At 58.8% G+C, this 25577-nt stretch overlaps 2 protein-coding genes across 34 annotated transcripts in view, besides 8 other annotated features; one reads left to right on the top strand and one right to left on the bottom strand.

The window, feature by feature from the left end:
* The first annotated feature begins 21 nt into the window (after positions 1–21).
* On the top strand, positions 22–2813 carry SELENOM (selenoprotein M). Its single transcript, NM_080430.4, has 5 exons — positions 22–213; positions 1625–1660; positions 1898–1932; positions 2304–2382; positions 2462–2813. The coding sequence occupies exons 1-5, from the start codon at positions 85–87 to the stop codon at positions 2618–2620; spliced, it is 438 nt and encodes a 145-aa protein (NP_536355.1). The 5' UTR covers positions 22–84; the 3' UTR covers positions 2621–2813.
* Positions 566–1338: an enhancer, noted in NCBI's record as "H3K4me1 hESC enhancer chr22:31502238-31503010 (GRCh37/hg19 assembly coordinates)". NCBI's record gives its function as "activates a minimal SCP1, AML or CMV promoter by ChIP-STARR-seq in primed H9 embryonic stem cells {active_cell/tissue: H9 hESC(primed)}" and the evidence as "EXISTENCE:reporter gene assay evidence [ECO:0000049][PMID:30033119]".
* Positions 2838–3788: an enhancer, noted in NCBI's record as "H3K27ac-H3K4me1 hESC enhancer chr22:31499788-31500738 (GRCh37/hg19 assembly coordinates)". NCBI's record gives its function as "activates a minimal SCP1, AML or CMV promoter by ChIP-STARR-seq in primed H9 embryonic stem cells {active_cell/tissue: H9 hESC(primed)}" and the evidence as "EXISTENCE:reporter gene assay evidence [ECO:0000049][PMID:30033119]".
* SMTN (smoothelin) overlaps positions 2966–25577 on the bottom strand; it is a 40507-nt gene continuing 17895 nt past the window's right edge. For 5 of the 33 annotated variants that reach the window (NM_001382639.1, NM_001382641.1, NM_001382638.1 and 2 more), the window contains 20 exons: positions 24281–24411; positions 19477–19625; positions 18984–19077; positions 18813–18891; positions 18621–18718; positions 17571–17891; positions 17410–17482; positions 16711–16782; positions 16108–16629; positions 15743–15915; positions 12135–12287; positions 11981–12056; positions 10693–10857; positions 10530–10592; positions 10252–10321; positions 8750–8923; positions 8411–8528; positions 7694–7845; positions 6541–6705; positions 2966–3274 (listed from right to left, as the gene is read on the bottom strand). In NM_001382639.1, coding sequence (NP_001369568.1) covers positions 6561–6705; positions 7694–7845; positions 8411–8528; positions 8750–8923; positions 10252–10321; positions 10530–10592; positions 10693–10857; positions 11981–12056; positions 12135–12287; positions 15743–15915; positions 16108–16629; positions 16711–16782; positions 17410–17482; positions 17571–17891; positions 18621–18718; positions 18813–18891; positions 18984–19077; positions 19477–19625; positions 24281–24331 — 2748 coding nt within the window. In that variant the 5' untranslated portion in view covers positions 24332–24411 and the 3' untranslated portion in view covers positions 2966–3274; positions 6541–6560. Of the gene's footprint in view, positions 3275–6540; positions 6706–7693; positions 7846–8410; positions 8529–8749; positions 8924–10251; positions 10593–10692; positions 11739–11980; positions 12057–12134; positions 12288–13713; positions 13807–15742; positions 15916–16107; positions 16630–16710; positions 16783–17009; positions 17154–17409; positions 17483–17570; positions 17892–18620; positions 18719–18812; positions 18892–18983; positions 19137–19476; positions 19626–22298; positions 22595–24280; positions 24412–24587; positions 24731–25577 lie in introns of those variants that run through there. The other 28 variants (NM_001382642.1, NM_001382643.1, NM_001382644.1 and 25 more) reach the window with 26 other exon arrangements.
* Positions 10172–10745: an enhancer, noted in NCBI's record as "H3K27ac-H3K4me1 hESC enhancer chr22:31492831-31493404 (GRCh37/hg19 assembly coordinates)". NCBI's record gives its function as "activates a minimal SCP1, AML or CMV promoter by ChIP-STARR-seq in naive H9 embryonic stem cells {active_cell/tissue: H9 hESC(naive)}" and the evidence as "EXISTENCE:reporter gene assay evidence [ECO:0000049][PMID:30033119]".
* Positions 10746–11320: an enhancer, noted in NCBI's record as "H3K27ac-H3K4me1 hESC enhancer chr22:31492256-31492830 (GRCh37/hg19 assembly coordinates)". NCBI's record gives its function as "activates a minimal SCP1, AML or CMV promoter by ChIP-STARR-seq in naive H9 embryonic stem cells {active_cell/tissue: H9 hESC(naive)}" and the evidence as "EXISTENCE:reporter gene assay evidence [ECO:0000049][PMID:30033119]".
* Positions 21238–21864: an enhancer, noted in NCBI's record as "H3K4me1 hESC enhancer chr22:31481712-31482338 (GRCh37/hg19 assembly coordinates)". NCBI's record gives its function as "activates a minimal SCP1, AML or CMV promoter by ChIP-STARR-seq in naive H9 embryonic stem cells {active_cell/tissue: H9 hESC(naive)}" and the evidence as "EXISTENCE:reporter gene assay evidence [ECO:0000049][PMID:30033119]".
* Positions 22183–22372: a silencer, noted in NCBI's record as "silent region_13623". NCBI's record gives its function as "represses an Ori minimal core promoter by ATAC-STARR-seq in GM12878 lymphoblastoid cells {active_cell/tissue: GM12878}" and the evidence as "EXISTENCE:reporter gene assay evidence [ECO:0000049][PMID:35858748]".
* Positions 22553–22832: a silencer, noted in NCBI's record as "silent region_13622". NCBI's record gives its function as "represses an Ori minimal core promoter by ATAC-STARR-seq in GM12878 lymphoblastoid cells {active_cell/tissue: GM12878}" and the evidence as "EXISTENCE:reporter gene assay evidence [ECO:0000049][PMID:35858748]".
* Positions 23083–23152: an enhancer, noted in NCBI's record as "active region_18848". NCBI's record gives its function as "activates an Ori minimal core promoter by ATAC-STARR-seq in GM12878 lymphoblastoid cells {active_cell/tissue: GM12878}" and the evidence as "EXISTENCE:reporter gene assay evidence [ECO:0000049][PMID:35858748]".

The following is a 25577-nucleotide window of genomic DNA, read 5'->3' as shown; positions in this document are numbered from 1 at the left end:
GCGGGGCCAGCCTGGGGGCCCAGACGTGGCGCAGCGACTCGGAGGTTCGCCTCCAGCTTGCGCATCATCTGCGGCCGGGTCCCGATGAGCCTCCTGTTGCCTCCGCTGGCGCTGCTGCTGCTTCTCGCGGCGCTTGTGGCCCCAGCCACAGCCGCCACTGCCTACCGGCCGGACTGGAACCGTCTGAGCGGCCTAACCCGCGCCCGGGTAGAGGTGAGTACGCCGGCCTCCAGCCCCGGCACTATCGTTCCCCAACCCTGCGGCCCCATGGGAGCACCGTCCGTCCCGGCCCCAAGACCACCTCGAACCGCGAGTCTCCCTGCTTTCCCCCTGGCGCCGGGACCATCCCTCCTGTTCCCTAGCCCCAGATGGCCCCAGCATCCACCGTGGAAGCCTGAGACACCGACTTTGGGGCCTGGAACTCCGAACCCTTCCCCAGCTCCCCCTACCCGGTCCGACAGCGGACACCCAGACACACTGACGCAGTCTCCTAACTCTTCTCGTGGCCTATGACTCCCAATCCTGTCCCAACTTCCCATCCCCCATCACTTCATGTTTTCCTGGAATTCCCCCCCGACCCGGTTCCAGGGCTGGAGGCTCCAGAAAGTCTCTTTTCCTTCTCCTGGGGGGAAAGAAGACTTTCTGGGTGCCTCCTCCCATATGCAGGATCCGGGGAAGGGGGCCAACTCGGAGGGGCAACCGAGTTGGGAACTTGGTTGCCAACATTTACTCTGCAGCAGCCTCCCATCCTCCCCCAACCAGGAAATTCCCGTTCGGAGTCCCTGTCTTGCTATGTGACTTTGACCATCACAGCCCGCCTCTGAGCTTTTTGTCAGCTCTGTCTGACAAAAGGGTGTAGAATGGTTGGGTGCCGGTGGTGCACGCCTGTAATCCCAGCACTTTGGGAGGCCAAGGCAGGAGGATTGCTTGAGCCCAGGAGTTCAAGACCAGCTTGGGGGACATAGTGAGACCCTGTCTCTAAGAAAAGGGCTGAGGGTAGGATGGAGGAGGGCTGGAGTGGGTGGTCCTGGGGTCTAGACTCCTGCTGGATGGTGGCATCTCCTCAGGGAAGGCAGGGAGGAGCCCTCCCATCCTCCCATGTCAGGGAAGCAACCACATGGTCTGTGGGGCTGGGCCGCAGGTGGCAGGCAGGGTGAGGTCTGCCTGTGTAGAGTAGGGACCAGATGGTAGGTGTCTCCAATGGGGGCCCCCAGGGCCATTCTGAGGTGTTTCCTTCTGCTCTGCCTCCACTGTGAGATTTCAGGGATCAAAGGCCAAGCCCAGGTCTCTACTGCTTAAGAGGAGCAGGGTGATCATTTCCCCTGGGCATTGGGAGTCAGTCCACAGCCAGTAGGATGTACAGGCCCCAAGGCTGGCAGGCACACTGTGGGTCTCTGGCCTTGCTCTTTTCCCCTGGTGTCTCTAGGCCTGAGTCTCCCCACCTGTATACACAGTTCCCCCTTCTGCCCACAAGGGTCCAGCATTTCCTTCAGACCTTGGGAACTGCTGATCCGGGGATAACTCACAGCCCGACCCAACTCAGGGATAAGGAAGTATGGCTTTGGGGATGTGACTGGAATAAACGTGAAGGACTCCTGACCTATCCCATTTTATCCCCCTCCAGACCTGCGGGGGATGACAGCTGAACCGCCTAAAGGAGGTGAGTTTGAAGGAAGAGGTCCCTAGCTCTGTTCCCCCTGAGCCTCTTGGGGAGTGGGCAACATGGTCCCAATGACTGGGGCGGGGAGGGGGGAAGGATCCCTAGGCTGAGAGTCTAGCCTAGGCTGAGAGTCTAGCCTGCACCTGACTTGCTTTATGACCTCACTGGGCTTCAGTGTCTCGTCTGTACCTCGAGTAGACTGAGGTCATGGTCTCTGATGCTCTGGTTCCTCCCCAGGTGAAGGCTTTCGTCACGCAGGACATTCCATTCTAGTATCCTTCTGTTCTGGGGGAGGGGAAATGGGATGGGCACCTGGGAGAATCTCCACGTAACTTCAGAAAGGGGTGGCAGATGGTTTTCAACTGACAAGTTGAATTGATTGGTAGTGGCTCCCAGAGGATTCTGAGGTGGTCTCCATGTTGGGTGGGCAAGAGAGATTGACTAGTGATGACTGCCACAGAATGGAGAGGAGGGCCCTTTACTTCTTTGAACCCTAATTTTCTCACGTATAAGCGGAGACCCTGGCCCCTCCCGGGCACAGAGTAAGCTCTGAGCAAAGGAGGCAATGCTGTTCCCATCAGTAAGGCTGCGGAAACCACCACCTCCCTCTGCCCACCACCCCGCTCCTTAACACCACCTCCAGTCACAACCTGGTGATGAAACACCTCCCTGGGGCCGACCCTGAGCTCGTGCTGCTGGGCCGCCGCTACGAGGAACTAGAGGTGAGGCCGTGGGAGGTGGGCTGGGGGCGAGGCCAGAGGCGAGGCCCAGCCTGCTGACCCCGCCCCTCCTCCGCCTCAGCGCATCCCACTCAGTGAAATGACCCGCGAAGAGATCAATGCGCTAGTGCAGGAGCTCGGCTTCTACCGCAAGGCGGCGCCCGACGCGCAGGTGCCCCCCGAGTACGTGTGGGCGCCCGCGAAGCCCCCAGAGGAAACTTCGGACCACGCTGACCTGTAGGTCCGGGGGCGCGGCGGAGCTGGGACCTACCTGCCTGAGTCCTGGAGACAGAATGAAGCGCTCAGCATCCCGGGAATACTTCTCTTGCTGAGAGCCGATGCCCGTCCCCGGGCCAGCAGGGATGGGGTTGGGGAGGTTCTCCCAACCCCACTTTCTTCCTTCCCCAGCTCCACTAAATTCCCTCCTGCCTTAACTGAGGCTCGACTCCTTCGTTGCTGCGGGCGGGTGGGGTGGGAGGTCGGAAGAAGAACCTCTGAGGATCCCTGCTGGAGTTGGAGACCTTGCGGAGCTGCCTTCGGTTCAAACCCCCTCCCCACCCCCAGGAGACGCAGAGAGGAGTCAGGATCGTTGAAAACCAATAATTTATCAAAACGCTGCGTGTGTATGTGGGGGGGAGGGTGTCGCAACAGACAGGGCAGCGGTGGGCGGACGCACAGGCAGGAGACGGTGCCCGGAGAGTGGGGGCGGCAGCTTGCCACTGGCTGGCCATGCGGGCGGGCAGGCTAGACATTCTTGCCGCGCAGGCGCAGTTCGTGGCGTCGCAGGTGGTTGTAGAGCGACTGCACATAGGTGAAGACACACTTGGGGTCAGGCTTCTTGCCCATGATCATCATGTCGTCCACCTCCACCAGGGGCACACAGTCCACCAGCATCCTGCAGGGAGGGGGCACGGGGTTGGATGTCAGCGCCAGACCCGCCTCTCGTGGCGCCCCTCTACCCCAAGGTCTTTTTTATTGCCGCATTGCCTGCTGGTCTTTCATAAACTCCAGACAGGGAAAAGCCTTCCAGGAAGGCAGGAAGCCCCTGGCTTCATCTACCCAAGCCTGGAGGCATCTCTCGGGGCGGGGGAGCAGAGCTAGGCAGGTGGAGGCGGAGATGGCAGAAGAGAGCCCCATCCCAGTCAGGCAGGTCCTGGGTCTGCTTCCTCCAACCCTGGGGAGGTGCTGGCTCCAAACCCTGCCCATGTTCTCCCTGGAGACCACCTTCTGCTCACCCTCACTGGCACACTCCAGTTGGTAGAAGCCTCTCAGCTCGGCCTTTGCACCCAGATGGGCTTCATCACTGGCCAATCTTTATCTATGGATAGGTCTCACTCTAGTGGCCCTGTGGTCCACCGATGATTGTCTGCTAGCTGCCTGATCTGGTACTTCCTGTTGAGAGGCCCAGGGACCCCTATTCTTTGACAGGGGGTGGGGATAACCCTGCTGCTGGAGATGGAGGCCAGGGAACGTGTGGGCAGCAGAGGGGTTCTCTAACCCTTATCACCTGCCTTGGGTAGAGCAGAGGAGGCAGATGAGGATCCCAGCCAATACCAATGGACCATCTATGCCATGCTCGGGGGGACCACCCTTCTGGCCATCCTTCAGAATGCTAGCTGCCCTTCACAGATAAGGAAACTGAGTCACAGAGCAGAGGAGCCATTTGTTTCAAGCCCCATGGCTTAGTAAGTGCAGGCTAGGCCGCATGGGACCCAGGCCCCCAGTTCTGGGTGTTGGCAAAGCCTTTTCCCCACTCTGGAGTGAGTGGGTTGTGCCTATTAAGCAACTGACAGCTCCCAGAGCTCTGAAGCTGGAGTCTGCTCTCTGGCTCCTTTTCCCCTGTCCCTCAACCCCCAGAGCAAGACCTCTTCTGCCTTGATCCCTCCTATCTGCCATACCTGGGACATAGCAAGCATTCAATGTTGCTGAATGAGTTTCCTATGGCAGGGAAGGCATAATGGCAACAATTGCTCCTTATTCTCAAGACACCTGAGAACCCAAGACCACCTCCCATCTCGTGCCCTTATGGACAAACTCAGAACTGTGGTAGGGCTGGGCCTACCCCCAGCTCACCTGGACTCCTTCAGAGAAGAAACCTGGGAGGCAGAACACCGAACACCTCTGTTTTAGTCCAGACTGTATCCCTAACCAGTTGTGGGTGCTAGATAAGGCCCTTTTCTATGACTGTTTCCCCCTCTTTAGAACAGGACAGTTATTCTCTATCTCATTTGAGACCTTACAAGAATTTAGGATGAGTGAGAGGGTTCTGGGTCTGCTGCTGATGTGCCACGTGCCCCTAGGGTCATCCCTATCCCAGACTGGGCTTGTTTCCCGAGCTGTACCATGATGCAAAGGCAGCCTCTCTCTGAAGCTTCTTCCAGCTGTGGCTATCGTCCTGGGGATCCCGACCGCCCTCTCCAACCTGGTGCTCCCTCCCGCCCCACTCCCTTCCCTGGAGACCTTATAAAGCCATTGTTTACACTGGGGCTCAGGGCTCAGGGCTCAGGCTGCCCCAGTGACAGGCCAAACACCAGGCAACTTGAGCAACAGCACGGCTGAGTCACACTTTCCAACTGGATCAGGGCTGGGCTGGGCCCCTCTCCCTCCAAGCTGGCTTGCTGGGCAGCAGCTCCTAAGTCCATATATGATCTGGAGATAGCACCAAGCCCATCCGCCACTCATCTGTGCTCCTTCTCTGAGTGTGTGTGTGCACATGTGGACTGCCCCCCACAATGGCTCCAGGCCCTGAGGGGCATCTGAGTGTGCCCCTACCTGTCACTGACTCACATTCCTTCAGCCAATCCCCTTGCTCCTTCTGGGCCTCTATTTTCAATCCTCTCTACAAAATGGGCGGGAACACAGTGATGGGGCAAGGAAAACAGCCACTAAGTGGGGAGTTTGGAGTCTCAGTTTCTGGCCCCAGCTCTGACCTAACCATCTTCCCTCTCCCTCCCACCCCCAGGACAGTCTTAGCCCACGTCTCTCTCTGAGCTCCTTGTCTGTAATGGGGTAGTTAGTTTAGGATCTGAATTCTTTACTTTGGTACTGAGGTGAGGTGACCAGAGAGGAAATGCCACAGCTGGCTTAGGATCCAGAGTCCCCAGCCAGAAACATCTTCCTGTTGAACTGGTCCTGCTCCTGAGCTCCCCACTTTGGAGTATGGCACCACCAACTCCCCAGTGCCCACACAGGAGCCTGGCAGACTTCTTGACCTTCCCTCTCCCTCTCCAAACCAGATCTATTGGGAAGCCTGTCTCTCTAGCTCTTAAGCTATTCCAGTCATCTAGTCCATCCCATCTCTCATCCAAGCCTCATCCGAGGAAGGTCCTAGAATGCTATATCCATCCCTTCTCTGTTTGGAAACCCTTTATAACTCCTGTTGTCCTCAGGAGGAAGGTCAAACTTTTTTTTTTTTTTTTTTTTTTTTGAGATGGAGTCTCGCTCTGTCACCCAGGCTGGAGTGCAGTGGCATGATTTCAGCTCATTGCAACCTTCGCCTCCTGGGTTCAAGTGATTCTCCTACCTCAGCCTCCTGAGTCGCTAGGATTACAGGTGTGCGCCACACGCCTGGCTAATTTTTGTATTTTTAGTAGAGATGGGGTTTCACCATGTTGGTCAGGCTGGTCTCGAACTCATGACCTCGTGATCTGCCCACCTTGGCCTCCCAAAGTGCTGGGATTACAGGCATGAGCCACCGTGCTCGGCCAGAAGGTCAAACTTCTAACTGTGGCCCCCTCCTCCCTCATATCCAGACTCAAGTTTCTTCCCTTCCTGATGTGCTGTGCTCTCCAGCTCTCTTGCCCTGCTAAGCCTAGGCTGATTCCTCTGCCTGGAACTCCCTCTCCCTCCTTTAGCCTGAACTTGTTCAGATCCCAGCTTAGTTTGCACTTTTTTCAGATGGGGGGCCCAGACCTGCAGCCTGGGTCAGGCATCTCCCCTGGGCTTCCCCCATCACAGTGCTGCCCACCTGGGTCATCACTGCCCATTTAGAATGGTCTCACCTGCTGGGCCCTGAACTGCCAGAAGACAGGGCTATGTCTGGCTCCTCTGGCTTGACTAAATGCCCCCCTTACTTCCCCCACCCGCCTCCCTGGACCCTCTCTGGCCTTGCTGAGCAGATTCTGGTGAAACGGGGCAGGTGGTAGAGGCGGCGTTTCTCACCGTGGGGCCCCGAGCAGGGGTTAGGACTTTTTGGTTTTTACCAGCCCCTTCTGGACCAGACAGCGGTAGAATTCCTGGATGTACGTGTACACGCACTTCCAGTCAGGCTCTCGAAGCCGCACCATGTCCTCTGTATCCAGGAGCTGCGGGCAGTCCGCATGGGTCCTGGGGAGGGTAGGGGGCCGGGAAGGGGTGGGGGACGGGGGCAGGAGGCCAGGGCCCCGGGTGGGGAAGAGAGGGAAGAGGCAGAGAAGAGAGAGGGGAGGAAACAGAGACACACACACATACACACACACACACAGAGACATGAGTTCAATTACGATTCCAGTGCTGCAGTCTGCCAGCCCCCCGCATGCCTCCTCCCCACTGTGGACGTGCCGCTCACTACCCATCACTAATGGTGTGCAATGCAGACAAGGGTGGGGGCCAAACCAGTCACAGGTGCAGAGAACTCTAGGGGCAAGCGGGAACGCGGGGTGGGGGCGATGGCGTTGGCACCAAGGTTGGAGAGGAGGGCTGTGCCCCGGGGAGAGGGGGTGAGGGAGGCGTGAGAGGAGGTGGGGGGAGGAGGAAGAGGAGAAGGAGGAGGAGGAAGAAATTTGAGGGAAACCAGAAAGAGAAGGGGAAAGAAGGGAAGACAGATGGAGAAGGGTGCTGAGGGTGAGGTGAGCAGACGGGGCAACGATTCCAAAGTGGAGGGCTTGCTGAGGTCCTATATAAGCCTCTGGCAGCACTATATAGGCTGGGCGGGCACGGTGCCCGGGCCAGGAGCCTCCTTTTGGAATCTCCAGCCGGGATCCCGTGGGAGCAGGAAGCTCTGGTGATAGTGGGAGGAGAGCAGGACAGAGAAAGGGAGAGAGAGGGAGAAGGGGGCAGAGGGAGGATGGAGGGGATATGGACAGGGCCACCTGGTGGGCTTTGGCCCGGGCTGGTAGGCCGGCCTGCGGCTCCTTCGTTCCGGCGGGCACCTGGCACGCTCAGCAGCGGGGGGGTGGGGATGGAGAAGGACGGGGACTCTCTGGGGAAGGGGGTCTCAGCCGCTGACTGACAATGTGGCTGGCCCGCTCCAGGGGTTCTCAGGGCAACTGGGCCTGGTCCCGATGTCCAGCCCCAGATGTGCAGCAACATTAGCAGGGCCAGGGCCCACACTTACTCCGCAGATGAGAAGGCCACCTCGAAGTTCTGGCGTCGGTTCTGAGGGCTAAGCTGCCCATAGTCGAAGGCCTCAGGGAAGAAGTTGTGCACCAGGGCACAGAAGGCCATCCCATCACTCCAGCTGGAGGAGAAGTTCTGGATGTCGACGTGCTATAAGCCGTAGGAGGACTGGTCAGGAACCTGGGGGCAACTCCCCCCTGCTGTCTACCCCTCAGCATTCTGTTATTCCAGACCTAGGGCACTGGGCACAAAGAGGCCCCGTAGCTTGCACAATGAGTGAATAGTTGGAACATGAGCCTCCTCCAAGTCAGCCTGTCAACTCCCATATTTGCAATTTCAAGGGACAGAGCTACTGAGAGGCCCAGCGCCACCCAGCTAAGGCTATGGTCATGCCTCATCACTCCTTCCCTCATTTAGAGAAATTGACTCAGGGCCTCCTACAGAGCAACAAGGAGGGGACTCCAAGAGTGGGATCCGGCCTTGAACCCTGCCCACCACCCAAGAGGCCCTGTTACTTCATCACTGATTCTGGAATCTAGGGCTTGCCTTGTGTCCTCTTTGAGCCTCAGTTTCCTCACCCCAAGAGCCTTTCCATGTTCCCTGTGAGGCCACACAGTGGCAGGAAGTGTACTGGGTAATAGGAGCTCTGCTAAGAAGGAGGTGTTGAGCTGGGGTCTGGGGAGGCCTCCAGGCCCCCTGGCCTCCCGGGGCTCACCTCGTAGCCGCGAGTCTTGGCTCGACACCAGTCCAGCAGCATCTGCTTGATGCTGTTGGCGTTGGGGACCCCGAAGCTGGTGGATCGCTGCACGGCTGCGCGGGGTCCGCCAGGGCTGCTGTAGGGGCGGTGTCAGGACCAGGTCACACGACTATAAGGGGCATGCCTCGGTGGGCCCACCCAGTGGATCCCAGGCCCCGCCTTCCATGACCTTCGGGCCTTTGCACCACAGATCTAGCCGCGCGGTCTTCCCGCCTCTGCCGGGCCAACTATCAAGCCCCGCCCCCCACTGCCTATCACGCCCCGCCCCCCACTGCCCAGCCCACTTCTGCAGCTCACCCGGCCGCGCCCTCCTTCTCCAGCTTCTCAATCATGGCCTTGCGCGCCTGGGAGGCTGAGGTCTTGGGCAGACTCTGCGCCTTCATCAGCTCTTTCTTCTTCTCGGCCTGCCGTTTCTCGAGCGCCGCCAGGCTGCCGGCCCGTGGGCTGGCCTGGTCCTCGCGGTCGAAGATGCTAGGGGTTGGGGAGGCGCATGTTAGGCAGGGAGAGCAGGGCTGCTCCCCAGCCTGGACCACCACTCGCGAGGAGGAGGGGGGGTCTTGTAGCACACTAGTATCTCCACTGCCACAAACGCCTGCCAGGGAGGGAGGCGTCCTCATCACACGCATTTTAGAGGAGTACACTGAGTCTCAAATGACAGCAAGGTTTTCAACAGGTTTCCGCCTCCCCCTCCCCCACCCACGAGTAGTTCTCTGAGAAGCCTCATTGTACCCTCAAGTTACAGGGGAGTTCAGCTTCTGGGCACTATCCGATAATAAAAATGATGACTAGCATAATAATAGTAATAATAATAATTCATCTCTGTTGATCCTTTCCTGTGTGCCATTTTAAACTTCACAAGAGCAGGGAGGGGCCTTACCAATTCCACTAAAGGTGAGGAAACTGAGACCTCTGGCAGTAACTTGCCTAAGATTTCAGAGGACGTGATGGGCGGAACTAGAACTTGAACAAGGTCTCTCTGATTCAGAGTCTCTGGACCCCTTTGGTTCTCATCCTGGATTCTGATCCTGTTCCTGCTTTCTGCCAGCCCCAACAGCCTCTGTTACATGGGGGTACCCTCCTTTCTCATGGGGCTAAGGTATAAAGGTGCTGTGTGACCTGGGACATGGTTTGCAGATACTGGGAAGTGGCAGTGCCACCAGGCAGCTCAGTGTGGTAGGTAGGCCTCTGTAAGTGTTCAATGCTATTGCAGCCACTCAGAGATGTGAGCCCCTAAGCAACTCACTGGCCTCCCTGAGCATCCACCTCTCCTGTGGTGTGGTTGAGAATAAAATGAGATCCCAAGGAGAGCAGGATCCTTAACTCTCACTTTGCCCCTCCCTGGCTATAGACCTATTACCTCCCAGCATCCCAGTCTACCCCTCTGTTTTATTTATTTATTTATTTATTTATTTATTTATTTATCTATTTATTTTTGAGACTGAGTCTCGCTCTGTTGCCCAGACTGGAGTGCAGTGGAGTGATCTCAGCTCACTGCAACCTCCGCCTCCCAGGTTCAAGTGATTCTTGTGCCTCGGCCTCCCCAGTAGTTGGGATTACAGGTGCCTGCCACCACGCCCGGCTAATTTTTGTATTTTTAGTAGAGATGAGGTTTTACCATGTTGGCCAGGCTGGTCTTGAACTCCTGACCTCAAGTGATCCGCCCACCTCGGCCTCCCAAAGTGCTGGGATTACAGGCAAGAGCCACTGTGCCCAGCCCACCCCTCTGTAAAACGGGTTTGCAGTTAGGTCCCCTGTGGCACTGACTCCTCTATGGTCAGGGATTGGGTGCTGGTGCTCACCTGCCCATCTTCTTGGATGAGGAGGAAGAGGAGAAGGTCTTGGTTTGCATCATGGTGCTGCCACTGCCATCTGCAAAAAAGGGGAAGGGGCACCAGGTGAGGGCCTGGGCTGGACATCAGGAGATGGGATGGGAGGCTGTATGGAGGGGTGGTGATAGCCGCAGGCAGAGAAGAGAAAGTGACGGCACAGTTGAAGACACGGAGAGAGAGCTCAAGGAAGAGCCGGAGGAGGTGGGCGGACAGGCAGGCAGGCACAGGGCGACACCAGGTGGCCTTACTCTCCGAGCGCCTCACGAAACTCGACTCCACTGTGGTGGTGCGGGCCGTCCGTGTGCCATCATCTGCAGGGGCAGGGGATGAGAAGGATGTGAAAGGCACAGGGGGCTGGGGGAGGATGTGTTCCCACCCTGAGCCCTGGGCCGGCCCCATTTGGCCCCTTACTGGAGTGGACGAGCCGCTCAGTCTTGGTAACAGTGCTGACAGCAGAGCCATCAGCTGCCCGCTGGCTGTGCCTCGTGGTGGTCTCAGTGGCTGTGTTGCCGCGCCCCTCCCCTGGCCGGCCCCGTGCCTCCTGCAGCCGCCGTTCCCGCTCCTTGTCCCGCTGGTCTGGGCAGGGGATGCCCCATGCATGCGCAAAAGGGCCACCAACACCCACACAGCACAGATGCACAGGTGCATGGGGCACACAAGACGGGGTGGAGGGTGGCTTGTTAGAAACATGAATGACACAGGTAACAAGGGCCTCTCTAGGAGCAGCTGGGGTGAGGGGACAGCCATAACTTGACAGGGAATGGAGTGTGGGAAGGGTTTGATGGACTCAGGCAGAAACTAGAGAATACGGAGTAGCTAAACTCAAAGGGGTATGGATCCAAAAAGGGTTTCTATAGGCATGAGTAGCTAAGTCAGGAGGGGTATCTAGATCTAGTGAGGGGGTAGCTGAGTCCAAGGAAGGAGAAGCTGAGTGAGGAAGTAGCTGGGTGGGCCATCAGCAGGTCTTTGGTTGGAGGAGAAGAGCAGCTGGAGGCAGGAATATTTAGATCCAGGAAGGGAGCAATTGATGGGATCTGAGAAGCAATCTGATCCAGGGGAAGAGTAGCTGGGAGAGAAGCTAGTGAAGGGGGTTAACTGGGCTTAAAATAGAAGTAGGTGGGTAGAGATAGAGACTGGGGTGGCCATCAGTGGGCCCTGGCAGAAGCAGCTAGATTCAGAGGAGTAATTGAGAGTGTTTGAGAGGAGAAGCAATTGAACCCAGAATCTAAGGGAATGAATAGATGTGTCCAGGGAAGAACTATCTGGGGGAGGAAGTAGTTGTGTCCAGGAAAAGGGAAGCTGGATGGGGCAGAGGCTAAGATGGCCATCAATGGACTTCAGGGAGAGAGGAGCAGCAGGGAGAAGGAGTATCTGGATTCAGGGAAGGAGTCGTTGACAGTACTTTGAGAGGCAACTGGATCCAAGGAGAGAGTAGCTGCGGGAGGGAGTATCTGGGTCTAGGAAGGAGAAGAGAAGCTGGTTGGGGAGAATAACTGGGGTCACCAGCGGGAGAGAAGGAGCTAGGGAAGGAGCAGCTGGATCCAGCAGGGAATAGCCAAGGGAACTGCTGGGTCTAGAGAAGGAGAAGCTGGGTAGGGCAGTTATTAAGCTGGGGTGTCCACAAATGGACCCCAGAGTATGAGGGGAGCAGCTGGGGAATGGGGCAGCTGGATCTAGGGTAGGGCAACTGGCTCTCTACCTCTCTTCCTTTGTCGGAGCTCACGAAGTGCAGCCCGGATGAGCTTCCGCTCTTCAAAGTCCGTGCTCTGATCCAGCTGCATATAGAGCCCATCATTGCCTACCTGGTGCCTGCTGGCCTCTGCCAACCCCCAGCCCACCGGATCTGGCTATACCATCTTGTCCAAGACTCCTTCATCCTCAATAGTCATCAGCTCCTCAGCGCTCAGAGGGCTCCGCCCTTCTGGTGCTTTGTTCACTCGGGTCTGCTCAGCCCCATTGGCCGCTTCCACTGCTGCAGCGAGAGGCTCTGCTGGCTCTGCTTCCATCTGCAGGGTGGGGAGAGGGCATGGACTTTAAGCAGGGGTATGGGTGAAACTCATCATGTCTCCAATGGATAGGGAAGCAGATCCTAGGGTTGCTGGCACGCCTTGGAAATAACCACTAGCCTGCCAGCCTGCCTGCCCAAAGATGGCCATGTCAGCGTCAGTCAGGGAAGAGGCACTGACAGTTTTGTTGTAGGGCTTCCCACGTACCCCGAATTGTATTAATACAATGGATAGTGATAATAATGATGATTTCCAGTCCATAGTAAGTGTTGTATAAACACTAGGGACTTTACTGTCCCTATTTAACAGAAGGGAAGGCCGGGCGCAGTGGCTCATGCCTGTAATGTCAACAGTTTGGGAGGCCGAGGTGGGAGGGATCACTTGTTGCCAGCAGTTTGAGACCAACCTGGGTAACATAGCGAGACCGCATCTCTACAAAAACAAAAATAAAAAATTAGCTAGGCATGGTGGTGTGCACCTGTAGTCCCACCTACTCAGAAAGCTGAGGTAGGAGGATTACTTGAGCCCAGGAGTTAGAGGCTGCAGAGAGCTATGATCATGCAGCTGCACTCCAGTCTGGGCAAGAGAGTAAGACCCTGTTGCAAAGAAAACAAGACCGGAAAAAAAAAAAAAAAAAACAGAAGGGGAAACTGAGGCTCAGGGCAGCTAACTGACTTGCCCACAGTCTCTCTCTAAGTGTGATGCAGCCTGGGATCTGAGCTGAAGGCAGCCTAACTCCTGAACCTTAGTTCATTTTGCTGCTTTGTTCCCAGCCCCCTCCCAGGCAGGCTCTGCTCTGTGCTGCCAGTTCCCGAGGCCTAGGTCCTCCTGGGCCAGTGCCCAGGCAGCACATGTTGCCCCCCATCTGCCTGCTACCTTGCCAAGAGGGCTGGCCCGGGGCCTGTAGGCTCCTGACCAGGTGTCTGACTGGGGCTGCCCTGAGCCAAGACCTCTATGAAGCTCTCCTCTGTACCACCTCCCCCTGCCTCGCCCCTGCTGGAAACCATCCTCTAAGGAGTCTCTAGCCCTGCAGCCCTCCCAGGGCATCTCCCTAGCCCCTTGAAGACAAGGCCCCAAGCCAACTATTATGGCCCTTCCTCTCCTGGCAGGGCCTCTCCGTCTGCTATAAGGGTAAGGAGAGCTGAGGTGGCAGCTGTTTCAGGGAGGCTTGGTCTGGCCAGGGTGCAGGGCGGCAGGGAGCTGGGGGCTGGGGCCTGGGTCATGCCAGGGGCTGCCAAGGCAGCTGCCACACATGCCTCAGGGCTGGAGCCTGGCACCCTCTTGCCCTAGTCTTAGAGCACTAGTGCCCCAGTCCCCTGTCAAGATAGATAAACTGAGGCTCAGAGAAGGTGGTGACATACCTAAAGTCAAGAGGAGGCAGAGCCTGGCTCAAAACTACCCCTCCCACCAACCCAGAAGCACTTACGAGACTAGTGCTGCGGGTGGTGCCGGTGGAGGAGCGGCGGCGGGTGCTGAAGGCAGGTGGGTGGGCCACGGGGGTCCCGGCATCCTCGGCAGCCTGAAAGAGGGCCTCGGGGTCGGCGGCAGCCAGGAGCAGCTCGCTGGGCTCCAGCTCAGGCTCAAGGCCGGACACAAGTGGGACCCCCAGCCGTAGGCTCAGCACCTCCACCTGCCTGCTCAGTGCATCCAGCCGCCGGCTCAGTGCTGCTCTCTCTGCCCGCAGCTCTTCAGCTGCCCGGGCCACCGGCTCCACGGTGGCTACAGCTACCTCGGCTGCCTGGGTCACTGCCACCCGGCCTGCTTCAGCCACCGCCCGCAGCTCCTCCAGTGCCCGGCCCAACTGCTCCTCAAGGGCTGCGGCCAGCTCAGGCCCAGGCCCTGGTACCCCCGGCATGGTGCTGGTGGGGACTCTATGGGGGGTAATGGTGGGGCAGTGGCAGGGGCTGCTGTCTCTGGCTGAGTGTCTGAGTCTTTGCAGCTGGTCCGAGGGCAAAGGCAAGGGCAGCGGGCCTGCCCCGCCCCTGCCTCCCAGCCCGCCACCAGCCAGCTGGAGCTGCAGCCCAAATAGAAACCTATTCTGGGCTCCTCCGTGGAAGGGGCAGTGGGGGAGGGGGGGCCTGCCCAAGCAGGCGGATCGCCAGGCCTGGCTATAGCCCTACAGAAATCATAGGCCTGCAGCACAGTAAGACTGCATGGGTTCTGAAGATCACTGAGATCGGGGCCCCATGCCTCACAGGTGGGGAAACTGAGGCAGGGAACAGGGAATGGACCTGGCCTAGCCACCATGTACATTAGCTGTGAGAATCAGTCTGCTGGACTCCACAGCCTGTACTCCTTTACCCTTTACCCTAACTCCAGCTGTTTTAGACAGCTGGAACAGATGGGGGAAATGGAGGCACAGGGAGGCAGGACTTTGAGTGATCTGCTATAAAAAGTGTCTTGGTCTTACATAAATGCCCTCTGGCCTGCCCATGGTGCTCACGTCCAACCACAGACTTTGAGCAAGCACATTATGGGTACATCACCTGTCCCCTTTGGTTCCAGATGGGTAAACTGAGGCAAGTTGGTGGTGTCAGACCCAGGTCTCACTGTGGCACCTCCCATCCACCTCAAGGGCCTCAGCGGGTCCCCCCACCCCACCCCACACAATCCCTTGTCAGAGGGCAGCTGGATCCTGCTTTTTTGGAAAGGAAGGGTGCTTTATTTCCCTCACTCTCTCCCTGTCTCCCCTGAGAAGGCCCAAAGCTGGTCTAGCCATCTCACCTCAGCCAAAGTCCCATTCAGTCCCTGGTTTAGCACAGAGGGCATTACCTGGGCAGCCGGGTGGCCCGCTTGGGGATCCCTTTCCCGGCTGAGCTCCCGGCTAGTGGATCCTGGGCTTGGGAATGAATAATGGAAGGGTGCTGCGTATTCAGTTCCCAAGGCACCTGCTAGGCTGCTGCCTCACCTGATTGGCGCCCCTCTGCCTGTCTGTCCCCCCTCAGAGCTTCTGCCCAACCCCCACAGGGAGGTTGACGCAGATGCTAATCACTAATCTCCAATCTCCTAATGGGCCAGGCTGATCTTGGATGAGCAGATGAGCTGCTCTATACCTCGGGGCTGATGTCCAGTGTGGGTGGGCGCAGGGGCACTGGGGCTGCCACAGGAAGAGGGGAGCAAGCCCTTACCACCCTCTCTGAGCCTCAGTTTCCCCATCTGTTCACCAGGAATGAACCAACCAATTTCGAACTAAGGATCAGAGATCAGCATCCAGGAAGCTTAACGCCAGTACAGAGTAAGCTTCCGACACACTTAGGGACTGATATGCTAGGGTCTGGCCTTAGCTCTGCCACCGACTGGCTGTGGTCTGTGAGCAGCCACCTTCCCTCTCTGGGCCTCGGTTTCTCTGTGTGTGCAGTAGGGGAGGAGCAGAGGAACCCTGCTAGCCCTACACCCTGAAGCAGTGTATGTGAGGCTGACGGATGGTGAGGCTGGTGGGGTGAGGAGGGGCTCACCTTGATGCTGCAGCCTCCTCGGCTACTGGGGGGGGCATGGCTGAAGCTGGTGACATGAGTGACACTGCCCAGCCGAGCCAGGGTCCCAGGGCTGTTGACACGGGTGATGGTGCTCTTGCCCCCACTACTGGTGCTGAGTAGGGTCGGGGGCGCCCGCAGCCCCAGTGTCAGTTCTGAGTGGGGAGAAAGGTGGCTGTCAGGAGGATCAGGTGGAGTGAGGGCAGTGCCAGACAAGGTTGATAATGCCCTCGCTCCCAGCACACCCTTTGGAGACACCCTGAGTCCTGGCCGCAGCACCTGTCCTGCATGCAGAAGTGCGGTTGCAGGCACTCATCCCCATTGGGGAGGCAGTGGGGGGCGCCTACCTGCCCTCTGGTTGCCTGTGGGCAGCAGCACCCGGCCTGTGGAGGCCTGGCCACGGCCGTCCTTGATCTCGATGGTGAATGTGGTCTTCATACTGCCCCCTGGCTCGGCAGTGCCGACGGCCACGGGCAGCGGGGCACCAGGCTCCTCTGAACGTGCCACAGGCCCCCCTGCTCTGTTTTCAAGGGGCCTAGCAGCCAAGCCCCGCCCCCTGGGGCCCTCCTCCTGGGGGCAGCTTCGAAGCTGGGCCAGGGGCTGGGCTACTCCTCGTTGCTCCTTGCTGAACCGGGAGGAGGTATCACTGGGGCCCCGAGAGGAGGAGCCGCTGGAGGAGGAGGCAGGGGTGGTGCTGGTGAGGGAGGGGCCCAGGAGCCTTGCGGGGGTCAGGGGACTTAGGGCAGCCTGGGGTGTGCCATCCTGGAGCCTAGCAGCCATAGGAGAATCAGATGTGAACTTGTGGACACGATCCCGCACAGAGCCAGCCCGCTGGAATGAGGAAGGTCCGCTGGCAAGGGGGGTGGACTCTAGAAGGAACAGGAGGGCTGTCAGCAACTGGGTGGGACAGGGTCTGCACAGATCCTAGGCAGGGTGAGAATAGGTAGTACCTCGGTTCTGGGCTGGTTGGCGGGGGCTGAGCACCGACAGGGAGCGTTGGCAGGGTCGGGGTCCAGCCACGTCTGGCAGGTTGGGGAGGGGGTGATGGCCATGTGGGGAAAGAGAAAAGACAGGGGATAGTGGGTGTCCACCTTTCATAATCCTCTCCTCTACACCTCCCTAGCTTCCCACCCTTTCCTGTACTCAACCCCCACCCCACCTCTCCATCCCCTCCTGGATCTCCCACACTCCGGCATCCCCACTCGGCTGCATCTCTCCTACAGGCACCTCCTTCTCCTGCCACACTGACCCTAGGATGACTTGGACACTCCTGGGGGCCAGGCGAGGCTTAGGCTGGAGGAAGGGTGCCCAGATCCTTTCTGCAGATGGGGAGGGGGGACAGCCCTCCTGGCCAGTGCTGCCCACAGCTCCAGCTGGGAGATGGGTGGACTCCCTTATTGGGGAGAAGAATGTGCCTGAGGCCCGTTGCCTTTCAAGGCTGCAGGGGAGGCCTCTAGCCATGGGGGTGGAGGGGGAGGCTGGCCTAGCTGGGGGCGGGGACACTTCAGGGGTGGGGTGCAGTATCAGGGACTGCATGGACCTGAGGAAGCTAGAGCTGCCAGGCACAAGAGCCCATTTTCTAGGCAGGGAAAGGGAGGCAGGGGGAGGGGAAGAAAGATGCCTGTGACTACCCCTGCTGGGACCCTCACCTGCTCTCTTGGTGTCAGAGGGGCCTCTGGTGGGGCTCTGGGCAGCAGGGGTCTCTTTGGGGCCAGACAGAAGCTGCAAGGGAGAAGAACAGGGCCTGAGCAAGGCCTGACTCCCAGACCTGCTCACTTGCCTGGCATCCCTGCCCCTCATCCAGACTCACCTTGTTGACCACCTGGCCCTCAGTGCTGGGGAGCGTTGGAGACTCCTGAGGCTCAGGGCTGGTGGTCTTGGGTGGGCTGGGGGGTGGCTCTGGGCTGCCTGGAACCTCAGCTGTAAGGCACTGGGCCTCGGCAGGCTCCAATGGAGGCTCAGGAGAGGCAGGGGTGGGTGAACTGCTGGGTGAGGCAGGTGAGCTGGATGTGCTCCCAGGTGGGGCTCGCAGCAGGAGTGTCACTGTGGTCACATCCTGGCTGGTGCCTTCAGGGGTGGGGGTTGGCTTTGAAACCTCTGCCTGCTGTTCCTGTTCCTCTCGCTCTGGCACCTGTAAGGGACCCACAGGATGCAACCAAGGCTCCCTAGGCTTTGAACGCCACCCCCACCACTGAGGGCCAGGCTGGCAAGTGCCCAGGGCAGGGCATGCAAAGCAGAGTGGTGGGGCATGGCTTCCTGTAGGCACACCTGCGCAAGCACTGGCACTGGCATGCTAAGGGCAGTCTCTGATCCCCACTTCCCAATCTCTTGGCACTACCTAGCCAAAGGGGTTCAGAGAGGACCAGGTCCTGATGTCAGTGGGTGGGTATGGCAGGAGACCTATTGGGGACGGGAGCCTTAATAGATCCCTGGAGTGGAGGTTCCTGACTCCTGGCCTCAGCCTGGTTCATCTGGAGTGGGAGTGGGGTCCTGCCAGGACCGTGGACCCAGCGGCCTCTGCTGGCCACTTGGGGAACCTGCATGGCCTGACCTCTCACCCACACTCTGGAAAATAGAGTGAACTGTGAGCCAGCTGGGGTCTGACATGCAGGCCCCATAAGCCAAGGTAAAGATGTGGGCTGTGTGGAGGGTGAGGGGCAGCCCTGGGACGGGTTGAAGCAGGGGAGGTGCCAGGGCCGGATTTGCATTTCTGGGAGATCCCTCTGACTGCTAAATAGAGGCTGGATGGCAGGGGTGGGCCCCTTACAGTGAAATACCAGCCTAGCAAAGACACTCAGGCACTCTGTGCTACCGGTATCCATGGGCACAGGACACTGGGCCACTCTCCCACCCTCCTTACCTCACACTGTTCCAGCCTGTGTGCCGCTAGCCCCTTGCTGTCCTCTCTTGAGCCACTGTTGGGACGCCCGCTGTACAACCTCCCAGCCAAGGTGGCAGCTGGAAGGGAAGGAGCAAGTGGCAGGTGAGTGACAGGGAGGTGCTGTGGACAGCAGACAGCAGGGCAGGGGTGGGGCCGGGACAGGCCACATACCCTCAATCTCCTGAGCCCGTACACGGCGGATGGCAGCTCGGATCAGCTTGCGCTCCTCATACTCACCAGCGCTTCGCAACTGTGGGTAAGAGACAGGTCGCGGGTGTTGGGCTGTGGAGTCCAGGTCTTCACCTGCCCTGCCCCCATCCCCTGCCCCAGCCTGGGCCTCACCAGTGCAGTCAATTCCTCCACATCGTTCATGGACTCCAGCTGCCCTGCCAGCCGTGCCAGGGCAGCCCGCTGCTCAGCTTCCCGCTGCTGAGAGCTGCAGAGACATCATGACTGTAACCACCACTGCCATGGCCAGGTCGTGGAGGATGTGGGCTAAGGGTAGGAGCCAGAACAGAGTACCCAGAACCTTGGCAGAAGGGCATGTGGCTGTGCACACCCTCTAACTGCACACTGATACACATATGCCCATGGACGTGGGCACTAATACCACACACTCAGACGTGCTGGCTACATCAGCACGGCCGCGACGCCACAATCAGTACATGCTCCATGCCCACAAACATCTCTGTTTTTCCAGAAGCGTGTGTGGACGTACTGCCATTAGCACATGCAATCCACAGATACACTTGTGCTCACGCCTGCCTGCACACATGAGCTGAGCCAGGGCTCACACTCACCTTCTCACCCGCATGTTCCACCCCCCGCTACTCACTGCAGCCAGTTCTCCTTGTTGTCCTGCCGCTCGGCACGGAAACGCTTGGATGCCAGGGCCTCCTCCTCGCGCTCCAGCTCCTGCCGCTGCAGTTCCCGGATGGCTGAGCGGATGCGCCGCCGCTCTGCCAGATCTGCTGTGACCTCCAGCTGCAGTGGGTGCGAGAGGCAGGTCATTTTGGCTGCCAGGGGCGGAGGGCTGGCACCAGCTGCCCACGGCTCTGCCTAGGGCACAATGTGTGGCCTGTGTCCACTCCCTGTGTCCCAAGCTCTTCACGTGCCTGCCTGCCCACGCAGGGTCCCGGGGGTAGACCCAGCCCACTGTTTCAGGGATCTTGGGTAGTCCACTTTGCATTGTGGTTCACAGAGCACACAACTGTGAGTGGACAGCCAGAAACTGCCCACTTGTGCCAGGTGCCAAGCCAGGCACTCCTTTCTACAACTCGATTCCTGCCTCTCAGAGCCCAGATCCCCAAAAGTCAGGGAGCTATTGTAGGAGGAGGAGGGAGGCCACCCTGTGGGTCACTAACAGGGTCCCTAGAGGGAAAGGTGACAGATGAAGTCCACCCTCTGAGCAAGGGAGGCTCCCTGGTCTAGTCACCAAACACCACAGCCCAGCTGGGGGTTGACTGCTTCATCCACAGATGGGGAAACTGAGGACAGGTGCTCAGGAGTCCTGCCTGGCTGAGGGCTATTGTCCCCACTGCACTGGCCTGGACCTAGCCACCATGGAAGAAGCCAGGGTGCAGAGTGGGAGGACCAATCCCCCAGACATATAAGGTGGCTGGCACTAGGGGCCACCCCAGGGCCTTATAGAGGGCATCCCTGGGTGACAGCTGCTTCTACCGGTTCTCAACCCCTCAGTTCCCGGGAAATTGGGGGTGACTGGTCTAACCAGGTTCAGGAAAGAACACCTTCTCTGGAGTGAGTCAGCCAATCCTGTTGCCTCCCCCACACCTCCACCATGTAGAGCCACCTGCTACATACAGATCCTCCGTGGCTCAAGGGAGAGAGGACTGGCCCAGGGTTCCCCTGGAAGATAGTGGCAGAGATAAGCCTCCAGTGTGGGTCTGATAACCAGACGGGAGCCAGTAAAGGCGGGGTGATTTCCTCTGTCCCCACCCCCCAAATCATTCAGGGGTAGGGCCAAAGAACCCTCTATCATCTCCCTTTTTAGCGCCCCCCCGTCATTCCTTTCTGCTTAGCGGGAAGGCCAGGTGGCAAGGGTGGGGATGGGATGGAGATAGTTTTCAGCAGGGAGTGTGGGCTGGCCCAACTCAGCCATGAGCCAGCTTGTCCTAGTCTGAAGAGAGCAGGGAGAGTCTTGGGGGAAGAGCCCTCCAGGCTCCACATTCCTGAGGAATTATGAGAAGACCCCCTGAAACTCAGGCCAGAGCCCTTAGTTGGTTCCAGCCCTAGTCCAATCCTGGCTGGGTGATCAAGAGCATATCCCTTAAACTCTCTGTGTCTTGGTTTTTTCATTTGCCAGTGGGTGGGGTTGGGAACAGTGACTTGGCCTCTCCTGTACATAGCTGCAGTTGCAATAAGCATCACCCCCATACTTGGTTCTAGCCAGTCAGGAGGAGGGAGAGAGACAAGGGGGCAAATGGGAAGGGCAGGATACCCCGAGGCATCAGTAACATTTATGGAGAGCCTGTGAGTCAAACCCTGTGCTGAGCCCCCTACTTGTCCTAAGCCCACAAAAACCCTAGATACTACTGTTATTCCCATTTGACAGATGAGGAGATTGAAGTCCAGGGAGGACATGTGATTTGCTCATGGTCAAATGACCTGAGCCAGGATTTGAACCCAGGTCTCTCTGACTCCAGGGCCTGCCCTAGGCTGAAGATAGCTCTGCTACTGGGGTCTGTGTGTCATGGTGGGGACCTCAGGGATCCTGGCACTGTGTTGGAGACCCCTCTAGCCTGGACTAGAGATGCTCTGAGGCCTAAGGAGGCCTTATAGCAGAGGCGGGGGGAATGAGGCTCACTCCCCAGCCCCCGGTGCTGGCTGTGTCTCAGGCCTAGAGCCTTCTGTGGTACATTTGGAGGCTGGGGGCTGGAGGGGACAGAGGGTCCAGCCCCTTCTGTACAGAGGGTAAAGAGGCCCAGAGGGGCAAGGGCTAGCCTTTTGTCTCCTAGGTCCCCATTCTCAGTGCTCTGGGCTCGGAGATGGGGTCCTTGTCTCTGACAAAAGCCTGATGTAGGAACTTGGCCACCTCTACAGCACAACCCCCGGAGCTTCAGTGTCCCCATCTGGAAAATGGGAGCCTCCCTCTGATCCCCCAAAGTGGGTGGGCAAGGCTGGAGACTGACAACCTCATTCCACTGGTCACCCTCTGGCACGACCCTTCCCTTTGGGCCTGGAGGCAAAGGTTGGACCACAGTGTCTCCTCTGTGTGTCCCGAGTTCCACCCGCCCAGGCCCCACCGCTGTGTAAGGAGGGAGCTGTGGGAGGGAGGGAAGGAAGTACAAAGCGCCATTGTCTACCGAGGGGGAAGGGGAAGGGGATGGGGCGGTTTCCGAAACTGCCCAGTGAAATTCTCCCGGGAGGAAAGAGGGTGCTTCCTCCCCCTGGGGAGCCGGCTCTCCGTGTACTCTCTGCCCTCGCTGTTGGGAACGCCTGGCAGGCCCTGAGGTCTCACTGGGCCTCAGTCTCCCCAACAGCACAACGGAGGGGGCTCTCCAGGCTTTCAGTCCCAGCTCCCCCGGTTGCCCATGGGGGTCCCGCCGGCGGTGGAGGGAAGCCTCGCCAGGGGGCGCTGAAGGCCCGCAGGTTCTGCGACCGCCCTCCCTCGCAGGGCGCCGCCCTCGCCTCGCCCACCCTGCCTCGCGCTAGGCGCCGAAGGGGTAGCCAGGTAGGAAGACACCCGCTACCGCCTGCTTCAGTGTCCGGATCTAAAGGGAAGAAACCAAGGTCCCCAGGACACCCAGCTGAGTGGCGGAGGTCGAACTCGAACTCGGGACCGAGGCAGAGGGCGTCCCGGCGGGTGGTGGAGGGGCACGCGGCGTGCAAGTCCCCAGGCGTCCCCATTCCTCCCATCCCCGGCCCAATCCTCAAGAATGTGCGGGAGCCGGGGCCGGAAGCGACTGCCCGCGTCCCCAAATCGGCCAGACGCTGGGGCGCAGGGCGGGCGGAGCGGGCCTAGCTTTTCCTTATATGGCCCGGCCCCGCGGGGAGGAGCCCGGCTCGGGACGCCCCCGTTCTTGCCACGAGGCCAGCGGGGGCCGGGCCGGCGCGCGGGGCGCAGTAATGGCGGGCGCCGGGTGCTGGAGGAGCCGCTCCCGGGGTCGGAAAGACTTCGAGAGGCACCGATCCCGAGACCGGGGCAGGTTCTCATCTGTCCTTTCCCAGAGATTCAACCACTGCTCCAGCTTCTCTCCAAAACTCTTTTCCAGCGCCGCCCGAGCCTCGCTTAAGAGAGGGAGGTGGCGGCTGAAGAACCCTGAGCCTGCCTGTGGATACCTTGAGATGAGGATGTGCGGGAACCAGGCCTGGCATTCCCTCTTTTTGGACTGTGCTGCCTCTACGACCCCCACTGGGACTTGGACTTCCTGAGGGAAGGTCGAACTGACTGGCGGGCACCTTTGGAAACCTAACCTCATCCCCTCCAGGCTGCACACATCCTGCGGTGATAGTGGAGAGGCAGACACCCAGAGAGTCTAATGCGCTGGTCCGAGAACATACAGGCAGAGTGCCTTGGGGAGGTCATGGCAGCAGCTGGGCACTGCCCAGTGGCTGGGCTACGCTGGTTGGTTCCAGCCTCTGCCTGCGGGGGAAGGTATGAGAGTGGGGTGGGTCACTTGTCTTCTAGGTAAAGTAAATCTTTAATTTACCCCCATGGACAAGGGTCAGGGACTGAGGAGATGGAGCTCCTCTGGCCCCTCCTCCAGGTCAGGCTGCCTGGCCTTTGGGGTTGGGGAAGGAGCCCTGCCCCACTGGGTTGCCCTACGGCCTCTGTGCATGGAGGTAGACAGGGCTCTCAGGAAGAGGAACAAGAAAGGGGATGGAGTGGGCTCATCTTTCCTCCACCTGAGATCTGGGTCCATGCCTCATTCTGTCCCCATGCCAACTCTAGGACCTAGAGCTTGTGTGCAAACACATCTCCCTCCCTCCCTTCATTTTACAGGTAGAGGAACTGAGACTCAAGAGTAGAAAAATGAGATGAGAAGCCACAGAATCCATAAGGGCCCACAAAACCTGTCTCTCTCTTATGGCCTCGTCCAGCCTTGACTTTCCCAGGACTCTGGTCCCCCGTGGCCCACTATGGGGTTGGGATTTTGGCACAGCTCCTTCTTAGATGGGTGTCCTTGAGCAGGTGATTTTAACTCTCTTGAGTCGCAGTGCCCAGGCTTTCAGAGCTGCTGTGATTATTCTGTGACATGGTATACCCAGTACCCAGCCTGCCCCCTGCCAGGCCTTGGCATTATTAATCATTGCTGCTACCATTATCACTGGGCCAGCTTCCAGGGGTGGGCATTGCCCGAGCTATTGCTCTGGAGAGGCATATCCAGCCTCCCCACACCTGTGGCTGCATACGGGCGAGTCTACAGCAGTTACTGTTTAAACAGGTGGTGGCTGTGGAGGGTTGGGAGGGACTAGGCTTCAGTACCAGGCATGGACAGGCACATGCCACAAGGGCCTCTGCATCAGCCACATGGAACTGGCCTACCCCTGTTCCCATGTCCCCCTCCTCCTGACCTTTCCCCCATCACTTCTTCCTGTCAGCTGAGAGGTACCCTGGATTGACCCTGCCTCTCTGGCTTGGCTTTCCTGTCCCCACAGTGGGTGATGGGGCCACTTACCAGCTTCCGAAGGGCTCCCTCATCCAGCCCAGCTAAGGCCTCGTCCGCCATCTCGCTGGCCCCTAGCTCCGTCGGTTCCTTTCTGGTGAGATCCCCAGTGCCTGTGGCACCTGTCACCAGCTCAGAGAATTCTGCAGGGGACAGACATGAATCAGGCATGCTGGGGCTTCCAGAAACCACAGGCACTTAGGCTCTGTGCCTTACTTTCCCTCTCTAACCTAGGAGCGTCCATTACTGTCCCATCCTATAATGTGGCTCCTGGCTGGAAGCTGCCCTCTGCCCTAGGGTGGTTTGCTGGAAAACTCACCAAACCCAGGGTAGGGGGTCTCTGGTTCCAGCCCTGCCAGCTTGGCCGCCAGTCTGCTGTGTGGCCTGGGATGGACTCTCATCCTGTCTAAACCTCAAAACAGGGAGGGCAGGGACCTGGATTGAGAAGCCAGGGCCTGGCAAGACCCACCCAAGCTGTGCTTACCACCAGGGGGTGCACTCCAGTCTCCAGTTTCCTGCCCCACCCACCCATCCACAGGGCCTACCCAGCCCCCACCCACTCCGCAGGCTCAGCTTCTGGCTGTGGGCTGAACCCGTAGTTCTTGCTGCCACCACCACTGTCATTCCCCCAGGTATAGGAAGGTACACTGTGTCTTCCGATTCTTGGAGCCAGCTCTGCTGTCCAGACCTCCTGAAGCCAGGTGTCCAGGCACCCAGCACCTCCTGCCAATTCATACAGAATTCAATTCCCCACCTGGAAGGGCTTTCAGAAGCTGACCTGCCCAACCCCTGGATTTCAGGCAAACTGAGAAGATTGGAGAGGGCCAAGGATTTGTCACTGAGCAAGGAGGAAGCCAAAGACTTAGAGGGCAGAGAAGGATGTAATCAAAATCTTCGTCATCTCCGGCTTCCGAAGCTCCCTTCCAAAGTGCCCTCAAGGGCCTGGAACACTCTCAGTGACAGAGGCAAGAGCCCCATCTTGCCCCAGTGCTGCCCATCAAAATGGACCCCTAAATCCTGGCCCAGCCTCCCAGCGCAGATCTCTCCTTCCTCCTGTAGCCCCAACTAATGTCTGTCTGGAATTTGAGGGGCCCTGGTCTGGCACACTGTGGATGCTTAGTTAATGTATGGTGACTGACTAATGTGTGGCCCCAGGCCTGCCCCCCACCTCCTGTTGATTCATCTTTCAATCATCCCTTCCCTCTCTTCAGAACAGTCACTTGGGAAGTCACCCCATACGGTGCATGGGTGGGGGGTGAGGGTTACCGCTCCACACAGTTGGGGTGTGTGGGTCCCAGCCTGTTCAAGT

This window comes from Homo sapiens, chromosome 22 (assembly GCF_000001405.40).
Source record: "Homo sapiens chromosome 22, GRCh38.p14 Primary Assembly".
NCBI classification, from domain to species: Eukaryota; Metazoa; Chordata; class Mammalia; order Primates; family Hominidae; genus Homo; species Homo sapiens.
The sequence above is the reverse complement of the archived record's forward strand: the minus strand, read 5'-3'. Positions and strand labels throughout refer to the sequence as shown.